General features: G+C 40.9%; 1 long non-coding RNA gene across 1 annotated transcript; it reads left to right on the top strand.

Moving 5' to 3' along the window:
• Positions 1 to 3,272: 3,272 nt before the first annotated feature.
• On the top strand, positions 3,273 to 10,115 carry LOC105372757 (uncharacterized). Its single transcript, XR_937622.2, has 3 exons — positions 3,273 to 3,442; positions 8,644 to 8,752; positions 9,918 to 10,115. It is a non-coding gene; the product is annotated as an uncharacterized LOC105372757 (long non-coding RNA).
• Positions 10,116 to 10,694: the final 579 nt, after the last annotated feature.

Below are 10,694 nucleotides of genomic sequence, written 5' to 3'. Positions count from 1 at the left end.
TGTGACAAATACTTCACTTGGGATTAAATCCTTTCAGGAATAGGAAATTATTTTTCACTCAGCCCACTTCACTTTTGGTTGGCACTGTAAGAATATTCTTCCCAACTTGAGCTCAGAGCTGTCTCTCTGAATATTTTGTTAATTTCTTCTAAAATTTGTCATATGACATAAAGATTGCTGTCTTAGTTATGTATCACTATAAAGGAATATCTCAGACTAGGTAGTTTATTTAAAAAAAAAAGGTTTATTTTGGTTCATGGTTCTGCAAGCTGTATGAGAAGCATGGCGCCAGCATCTGCTAGTAGCAAGGACTAAGGAAGCTTACAATCATGATGGAAGGTGAAGGAGGATCGGGAGCATCACACTGTGAGAGAGAAAGCGAGAGAGAGAGGGAGGGGGTGCCAGGCACTTTTAAACAACCAGATCTCATGTGAACTCACAGAGGGATTAACTCATTACCATGAGGACAGCACCCCTATTCATGAGAGATCTGCCCCCATGACTGAAACACCTCCCACTAGGCCCCACCTCCAACACTAGGGATCACGTTTCAACATGAGATTTGGAGATGAATATCCAAACCATATTTGCTGCATTCAGCTGGTACATACTGGTACAAATTACTGATTGTTGAAATACTCAAGCACAGTTGTTAAAATCCACTGCTCTAAGCTCCCCAATCCCCACAACTGCCACTGGACAGTTCTGGACCAGTTCATAATCTGCACACTAAACAGTTCGACCTGGACCTAGCAGAAGGCCCTAAGGTGCTTGCTTCTGCAGAGATATGGCCTGTTTTTCTTTTGAGGCTTGATACCTGTGCTGTGCTTGGTACTTCTCATATCACTTCTGCTTGTACTTCTACCATATGTACACCTGTTACTTGGATTCTAAAATGCACTAAAGCCTTGTTACTCAAAGAATGAGATGCATGAACCCATGCATTAGCTTGGAGTTTTTGAGAAATGAAGAATTGCAGGCCCCACCCCAGACCTACTGAATCATAATTTTCATTTTTATGAGACTTCCAGATGACTCATGTGCAAATTTCAGTTTGAGAAGTCCCAGCTAGCCTAGGCCCTGGTGGGAATGATCCAGTGTAAACTAGTAGACTAGTAATGCAGACAGAGTGCAGACCATCAAAGAAGCTAAGTTCCTGGGAAGGAAAATTGTTCTGACAGCATGTGGAGAAATTGTTATTTAGGGAAAGGAAAGAATAGATAGGAAGAAGGGAATGCAGATGTAAGAGGTTTGAAGATTTAGTTAATCAGAAAGTAAAATATTTCTCTCAGATTAATTTTATCACTTTAGTGATGCGCGAAGGATATCATCAGCTATAATTGGTGGGCAACAGGATTGATGAAAGAGGAGAGGCTGATGAATTAGTCATCTTGGTAGGCAGACATTAGGAAAATTTTGGTAGGTTACTGGACAGTGTTGAATGCCAGTTCAAATGTTGTAAACATGAATTTAAAGATAAATAAGTCAGCCCATTTGGGTGAATTTCTCCTAAAAATGTTCAGCTGCTCAACCACTGGTCCCAGGATGGCAGACAGTAGACTTCAACTGTCAGAATTTCCTTAGTCAAGTATGTCAGAAAGAAAAAAAGCAAGGGAGTTGAAGACGTGGCAAGAATTTTCAACATCATTTAAGCTAGACGAGGAGGCAAATGAATACACAAAGGGGATGAGGAACAAGAGAGAATGTGGTGGTTGGGTCAATGAAATGGAGCACTTTTAAAAAAAAATTTTTTTTTTTTTTTTTTTGAGACATTGTCATCTGGCTCTGTCACCCACGCTGGAGTGGCATCTCGGCTGACTGCAACCTTTGCCTTCCAGGTTCAAGCGAGTCTCCTGCCACAGCCTTCCAAGTAGCTGGGACTACAGGCACCCACCCCCACACCTGGCAAATTTTTGTATTTGTAGTAGAGATGGGGTTTCACCATGTTGGCCAGGCTGGTCTCAAACTCCTGACCTCAAGTGGTCTGCCTGCCTCGGCCTCCCAAAGTGCTGGAATTACAGGCGTGAGCCACCATGCCCAGCCAAAATGGAACTCTTAATGAGGTTGAGAATGCTGGAATTTCCTAGAATAAGTAAGGGAGCTTGAAATACAGGCAGTAGTGCTGTGAGAATGAGAGGCATGACATGGGAATTTTGGAGGTGGTAATTTCTGGGCTGACAAGGTTAAGTCTGACTATGACACTGAGTGATTCCATGGGAGTAGCAGTCAAGGAAAAAAGAGCTCATGGTGGTTTGGAACACCCAGATTCATTTGCTGTTTTGTTACGGAACCCTTAAACATAAAAAGTAGAGAGGGCATAATAAACCTCCATCCATACATCACCCATCTTAGTCATTATCAACTCATGGCCAATCTTCCTTTACCATTGGAAGCAAATCCAGACACTCACATGCTTATATGTGTAAATATATCAGATTGGCATCTAATTTTTAAAGGGACTCTTTGAAAAAACTTCCACACTACATTATCAAATGTAAAATGAATAACAGTAACTACATAATATTATCTTTTCTTATTTATTATTTTTTTTGAGACGGAGTCTTGCCCTGCCACCCAGGCTGGAGTGCAGTGGCACGATCTCGGCTCACCGCAACCTCCGTCTCCCAGGTTCAAGCAATTCTCCTGCCTCAGCCTTCTGAGTAGGCGGGATTACAGGCGTGCCACCACGCCAAGCTAATTTATGTATTTTCAGTAGAGATTGGGTTTTGCCATGTAGGTCATGCTGATCTCAAACTCCTGACCTGAGGTGATCCACCCACCTCGGCCTCCAAAAGTGCTAGGATTACAAGCCTGAGCTACCGCACCCGGCCACTACATAATACTATCAAAGAGCCAATCTATCATGTTAATTGTTGAAGTTGCTGGTCATTGTGATGGCAGTCTATGTAGAGATAAATGTTTATAGCTGACAGTCGATCCTCAGCCATGAGGAGGAGTGGTAGGGATGCCACCAGACAACAGCCATAAAGAGGAGGGAATATTTCAAGTCAGGTAGTCTAAGCCTCAAAGATAGAGTGAAATCTTTCCTTCCCCCAACTCCCCAGCCCCAAAAAGATGGATAAATGGTCTGGAAATAGCAGTGAAATGCAAGAAGGAAGCCTTTGAATTTTATATTCTCACCCTGATATACAAGGAGTATAAGAGAAAAAATAGCTCCCCTGAAGAGGGTGTGTATTGGTCAAGTTCTCCAGAGGAAGGGAAGCAATAGGATTTGTATAAGATATGTAACAGCGGATTTGTTATAGGAACTGGACACAATTATGGAGGCTGAGAAGTCCCATGATCTGCTGTGTGCAAGCTGGAGACCCAGGAAAGCTGGTGGTGTCATTCAGTCTTGGTCTGAAGATCTGAGAGCCAGGGAAGCTGACGGTGTTACTCTCAATCTGAGGTCAAAGGCCTGAGAACCAGCGGTCTCAGTAATGTAAGTCCCAGAGTCTGAAGGCCTGAGAACCAGAAGCTCCAGTGTTCAAGGATAGAAGATAGATGCCCCAGCTCAAGAAGAGAGGGCAAATTCACCCTTCCTCCACCTTTTTATTCTATCCCTGCTTTCATCAGATTGAATAATGTCCACCCATATTGATGAGGACAGATCCTCTTTACTCAGTCTGTGGATTCGAATGCTAATCTCTTCCAAAAACACTCTCACAGACCCACCCAGAAATGTTTCTGCGTATCCCTTAACCCGGTCAATAACACCTAAAATGCAGCACCAAGTCAAAGGGAGAAGAGTGTTCACAACGGAGAGCTGCATTTCTGGTGAATTCAGGAAGCAAAAGAAACATTTCGCAAAGAGACCGAATGTATGCAGATCTGCTGTGTGCAGACCTGAAGGCCACAGTGAAAAATATGGGTGTGGGCGTGGTAGGGGCAGGGGTACAGAGGATCAAGTCAGATTTATGGGAGACGTGCTTTGAACAATAGGGGTCATGAGTAAGATGACAAAACCCCCCAAGGCTGTCCCCGCATGTATGTGTCATCCTGACATGCAGTTTAGTGTATGTCCAAGTTCAGACAATAAATTACATGATCTCACTAGACATACAGATTGAAGGGGTTTGGTGTTCTGGCAGTAGCTAAGTGAGAAAGGATGTGTGACAGGGTGGGGTTAGTCCTGGAACTCTAGCTGTTCTAACTCCATGTAGTCTTCCCCTCTGCAGCACTGGGAGATGGTGCCTGGGATGGTGTTTTCTCAACCAGTAAGTGCACTGAAACTTTTGATCTAGAAATTCCACAGTCAAGAATTTATCTTGGTTGGGCACAGTGGCTCACGCCTGTAATCCCAGCACTTTGGGAGGCCAACATGAGAGAACTACTTGAACTCAGGAGTTGGGGACCAGCTTGGGCAACATAGTGAGACCCTCATCTCCACCAAAAAAAAAAATAATTAAAAATTTAAATTTAAATTTAAATTTAATTTTAGCCGGGTGTGGTGGCATGCATCTATAGTCCTAGTGACACAGGAGGCTGAGGTGGGAGGATTGCTTAAACCCAGAAGTTCAAGGTTGCAATGTGCCATGATTGTACCACTGCACTCCAGCCTGGGTGACAGAGTGACACCCTATCTCTTAAAAAAAAAAACAAAACAAAACAAAACAAAAAAAAACACCAACCAGACAACAAAAACACTCTCTAAAGAGATCATCAATTTGGCAGACAAACGGTATTTACCAAAAAATTATTCCTCCAGTATTGTTTATAACAAGCCAGACTCCCCAGGATAAACTAGAAAAAAATTAATCATTGTTAAATGAAAAACCTCTACTTCTCTCCAGAGGAAAGAGAACTACACAGAATTATTCATGAGTAAAATGACTGTCTTAAATAACCTGCCTGCAATTTTCAGCATCTGCCATTAGATTTGAGACACATATTTGAGTCCATGAAACACCTATCAAGGGAGGCTTTGATAATATCAGTGTAATTAAAATGGGTATCAATTTTTTTCTATTTTTCTTGAGTTTGTTAATACTTTTCTTCCTAGATAATTACAGTTGCACAATTTTTCAGGTTTATTGGTATAAAATTGCTCAAAGTACTCATGATTTCTAAATTTCATATATTTTTGTTCTCTTTTACTTAATCCTAATCGTTTTTGACCCTTTCTATTCCTTCCTATTTTATCTCATTCATTTGTATTTCTGTCTTTATTTCTGTTCTTATAGTTTCCTTACATTTATCTAGCTGTTTGTTAAGAGACAGAGTCTTGCTCTGTCACCCAGGTTGGAGTATGGTGATGCTATCACAACTCATTGCAGCCTCAACCTCACAGCTGAGCTCAAGTGATCCTCCCACCTCAACCTCAGTAGTAGTTGGAACTACAGGTGCAGGCCAGCATACCTAGCTAATTAAAAACAATTCGGGGGGGGGGGGCTAGAGATGGTGGGGGGGTCCCATTATGTTGACCAGGCTGATTTCAAACTCCTGCGGACAAGCCATCCTCCCACCTTGGCTTCCCAAAGTACAGGAATTACAGCATGAGCCACCACACCCAGCCTTATCTAGCTCTTGAGACACCTTCTTCACTCATTTCTTTCTTGTTTCTTTTTTAAACGAGTGCATTTAAAGTTAGAAATTAATGTGAATATTTGAATCCCATATATTTTGATATACTTACTTTAATTATCATTCAGTTCTAAGAATTTTGTTAATTCTTTTGTGGGAATTCTTTTGAAGTAAGTTCTTAGGTTTGCAGCCATATGAATAGTTTTAAAAACTGACTTTGCCGGGCATGATAGCTCACACAGGTAATCCCAGCACTTTGGGAGGCCAGGACCAGAAGACTGCTCGAGCCCAGGAGTTCAAGACCAGCATGGGCAACATAGCGAGACCTCCATTTCTACAAAATATTTTTTAAATTAGTCAGGCATGGTGGCACGTACCTGTAGTCCTGGCTACTAGAGAGGCTGAGGCAGGAGGATGGCTTAAGCCCAGGTTCAATCATAGCTGCAGTGAGCTATGATTGCACCACTGCACTCCAGCCTAGGTGACAAAGTGATATACCCTATTTCTAAAAATAATAAAAAATAAAAAGCAGATTTGTTGATTTACCATTTAATTGAATGATGAGGCGAGCACATTGTCTATGTCATATTCAATCCCTGACATTTGCTGAAACTTCTTTAGTGATATAGTGTGTGGTTAATTTTTGAAATGCCCTGTACACTTTTTGTAAATACTCTCTAAAAATGTATGTCTGCTTGCCAGAGAGAGAATTCTAGGTATCTATCAGATAAAGCCAATGTATTTTGTAAATCTCATCCTTACTAATTTTGGTCCAATTTATCAGATTCTGATAGTGATATACTGGAATCTTACTACTATGTGGTTTTCTCTCTCCTGGTAATTCCATAAGAACTTGTTTCATACAGTTCTGGGTTTTATTATAGGTATATTCAGGTTCTCAATTATTATATTTTCTCAGTGGATTGTTCTTTCAATTATTATGGACTGATCTTTTTATCCCTATTAAATTCTTTTTGTCTTATATTCGATTTTGTATGGTATTAATATTGCTATGCCCCTTTATCTCGGTTGATACTTGAATGCTATAGCTTTTTATCCACTCCCCTTTTTGATAACTATTTTGAAATAACTATATATTCACAGAAACTTGCCACAGCAAAAAATGTGCAAGGAGGTATTTAGCACCCTTTTCTCACTCACTGTTCCCATTTTGCATAACTATACATCCCTTTATTTTTAAAATTCTAACCTATGCCTCTTGTAGGCAACATGCAGCTAGATTTTGCTTTATTATCCATTCTGATCATTTCAGTCTCTTTAAAAGGTGAGTTTAATCTGTCTACCGTTAGTGATTATTTACACAGCTGGAATTGTTTCTATTTTCTTATTCTCATTCTTTGCTTTTTCTTTTCCTGATCTTCCTGATCACCATACTTTTTATTTGCTTCATTATTGCTTTTCTGCTCTTTCATTTTCTTCTTGCTTAGAGGTATAATTTTATTTACATAGTCCATATTATTCTCACCAAAATATTTTATCAGTTTCCATATTTACAGTATTTTTGTATCTCAATGCCTTTTCTTTGGGTTCAGATTTTTTCCTGCTGAAGTATATCCTTTAATAGTTTTTTGTTGTTAGTATTGTTTTTATTTTATTTTTTATTTTTCTTTTTGAAATGGAGTCTCGCTCTGTCACCCAGGCTGGAGTGCAGTGGTGCCATCTTGGCTCACTGCGACCTCCGCCTCCCAGGTTCAAGCGATTCTCCTGCCTTGGCCTCCTGAGTAGCTGGGATTACAGGCATGTGCCACCACGCCCGTCTAATTTTTGTATTTTTAGTAGAGACAGAGTTTCACCATGTTGGTCAGGCTGGTCTCGAACCCCTGGATCTTGTGATCTGCCTGCCTTGGCCTCCCAAAGTACTGGGATTACAGGCATTAGCCACCATGCCCAACCAGTATTGTTTTTAATTAAGAAGACATCTGTGGCCAACTCTTAGTATAGCCCTCATTCTCTGGGTATAAAACACTAGGCTAATAATTATGGCCTTTAAGGTTATTTAAGATACTATTTCACTCTATGCATCTATCTTTGCTGATAATAACTTCAGTTATTAATATGTGGTAATCTTTTTTCCCAGTAACTTAAATTTTCCTAGTTTTACTATAATGTGTCTTATTTTGGTTTATTTTTCATTATTCTTGGTACTTGAACTACCCTTCTAGTAAATTTATTTTATGTTTTAACTTTTACTTTTTTTTTTTGCGACAAAAATCTCACTCTGTTGCCCATGCTGGAGTGTAGTGTTGCAGTAATGTGATTATGGCTCACTGCAGCCTCGAACTCCTGGGCTCAAGCAATCCTCCTGCCTCAGCCTCCTAAAGTGCTAGGATTACAGGTGAGAGCCACTGTACCCAGCCCTCTCCTAATTTAAAAACTTGTGTTTGAACTTGATTCTGAGAAAGCCTTAGCTAGTCACTGTTTAAATATAATTTCTCTACTCTTCCCTCCATTTTCTTTTCTGGACCTTCTTTTGAATACATGGGGAAAGCCTTCCATCTATCCACTATTTCTGCATGAATGGTTTCATCAACTAATTTTCTCCTTCAATTATGTCCAATATACTTTATCCAATTTCTTAAGGTATATTTATGATTTTTATTTTTCATATTTCTAATCAGTTATTTTTCATGTTTACCCATAGTTGGTTTATTTATGCCTATTTTGTCTTACATTTTTTTCTCTACCTTTTACTTTTTTTTTTTTAGAATATTTCTCTTAATTTTCCCTTGAAGTACCTTAAATATTTATGTGAAAGTCTTCTTTCAGATTGTCCTATTATTTTTATCTGACCCACATTTACTTGATGATGATCTTGCAGTTTTCTTTCTTGGCATTGCATTTCTTCATGCATTCTCAATATTTGGTTTGCAGGCTCCTTGGCTGTTTTTGCGTTTTGCTTTTTGCTTTCACTCCCTTCGGGTACTCAATCCTACTTGCCCACAGCTTGGACATTGCTTCCACTCACCTCTAGGGGGCGCAATGCAGAACCAAATCATTGCACAGGGCGCGGCTGGAGACACTGCAGTTCAGTTATGGGCCTCTGGGGGGCTCGTCGCATGCCGTTCCGGCTTGTGAGTCTGTGTCCTCCCTCTTCTTCAGGTCCACAGAAACCCAACTGTCGCAGAAACCTGAGTGGTAAAGTGTCAGCAGCAGGAGTTCTGAATAACATTTCAGGGGCAGAAAAACCGCACTGGCCTTTCCTTCAATGGTGAGCAGACTCTAGCCCGTCTTCTGCGGAGCGATTTATCCCGACAGAGCCCAACTCCGACCCACAACCACAGTCCTGGATCTTCAGCTCACTCATCTGTCTCTGTCCAAGTGCTGCTTCCCAGTCTACACAGACCCTAATTTGGGTTTTGAGCATCACTATGCCTTTTTATATCTTCATTTTATATTTTCACCACCACTGCTGTATGTTTAGAAAAGAAGAAATGTCCCAAAGAGGCTGGGCTCGGTAGCTCACGCCTGTAATCGCAGCACTTTGGGATGCCGAAGCAGGGGGATCGCTTGAGGTCAGGAGTTCGAGACCAGCCTGGCCAACATGGCAAAACCCCGTCCCTACTAAAAATGCCAAAATTAGCTGGACGTGGTGGCGGGGGCCTGTAATGCCAGCTACTCGGGAGGCTGAGGCAGGAGAATTGCTTGAACCCGGGAGGCAGAGGTTGCAGTAGGCAGAGATTCCACCATTGTATTCCAGCCTGGGCGACAGAGCAGGACTCTGTCCAAAAAAAAAAAAAGAAAAGAAAAAAAGTTCCACACAATGGAGTTAGCATCCACTTGAATAAGATTCTGTATTAATTCAGGATCAAAAGATTTGAGAGGAAAAAAAGGTTTTTGTTTGTTTGTTTTTTTGAGACGAAGTCTCACTTGGTCACCCAGGCTGGAGTGCAGAGGTGTGATCTCAGCTCACTGCAACCTCTGCCTCCTGGGTTCAAGCGATTCTCATGCCTCAGCCTCCTGAATAGCTGGGACTACAGGCACGTGCCACCACGCCGGGCTAATTTTGTACTTTTAGTAGAGATGGGGTTTCGCCATGTTGGCCAGGCTGGTCTCGAACTCTTGATCTCAGGTGATCCACCTGCCTTGGCCTCCCAAAGTGCTGGGATTACAGGCATGAGCCACCGCGCCCGGCCAAAAAAATGTAGTTTTAATGGCTGCAAGTTTTTGAAACTGTTGTTATATGGAGAGCATAGCAACTATGTCCTCTGATAAATAAGTTTGTAACAGCCCTGTGTTCAATGGCTAATAGGTGGTATTTTTAAAAGACTTGTAGCTCGTGAAACATTGTAAGTGCCTTGTGATTTGTGTTTGTGTGAAAACTGGAGCTTACTCCAAATTTATGTTGAAACTTATTATCTTTTCACTTTCTCAAGAATGACAACTGGGAAAAGTTAAAAACTCAAAGGCCAAATATTATGTCAAACCAGTAATGGAGGTACAGAAAACATCAGAAAAATAGAATATCAGAAGTCAAAGAGGGATTTATCTTTCCTAGTTCTATTCTCTACTGGATGGATAATCTTATTCCCTGGGGGTTGCTGGAAGAAGAGAGGTGAGTCTTACTTTTTTATAGCAAGTTGTTATGGGGGAAAAAAATCTGTACCAAAGAAACCAACTTTTTTTCTGTAATAAAAACGTATTTTTGGGCTAGGCACGGTGGCTCACACCTGTAATCCCAGAACTTTGGGAGGCCAAGGCAGGCGAATCACTTGAGGTCAGGAGTTTGAGGCCAGCCTGGCCAACATGGTGAAACTCCTGTCTCTACTAAAAATAAAAAAATTAGCCAAGTGTGGTGACGCACACCTGTAATCCCAGCTACTCAGGAGGCTGAGGCAAGAATCACTTGAACCCGGGAGGCAGAGGTTGCAGTGAGCCGAAATCATGCCATTACACTCCAGCCTGGGCAATAAGCAAAACCTCCATCTCAAAAAAATGTATAAAACCAAATTTTTGGTTTTAGCTTCATTCTGTTTTTAAATCTCTCTAGGTATGATGATGTCCCTGGCATTTTTCTTCCAAAAAAAACATCCAAAGTGGAAGTTTTTTCTTAAAGAATACATTTCTTACGTTAAACTTAACGAAATGTTAAAATCTAAATTTTAAGACAATACAATAAAAATACCTTGGGCATAATGCAAAGACTTATATTT

The sequence above is a fragment of the Homo sapiens genome, chromosome 21 (assembly GCF_000001405.40).
Source record: "Homo sapiens chromosome 21, GRCh38.p14 Primary Assembly".
NCBI lineage: Eukaryota > Metazoa > Chordata > Mammalia > Primates > Hominidae > Homo > Homo sapiens.
This window is presented reverse-complemented; position numbering and strand designations above follow the sequence as displayed.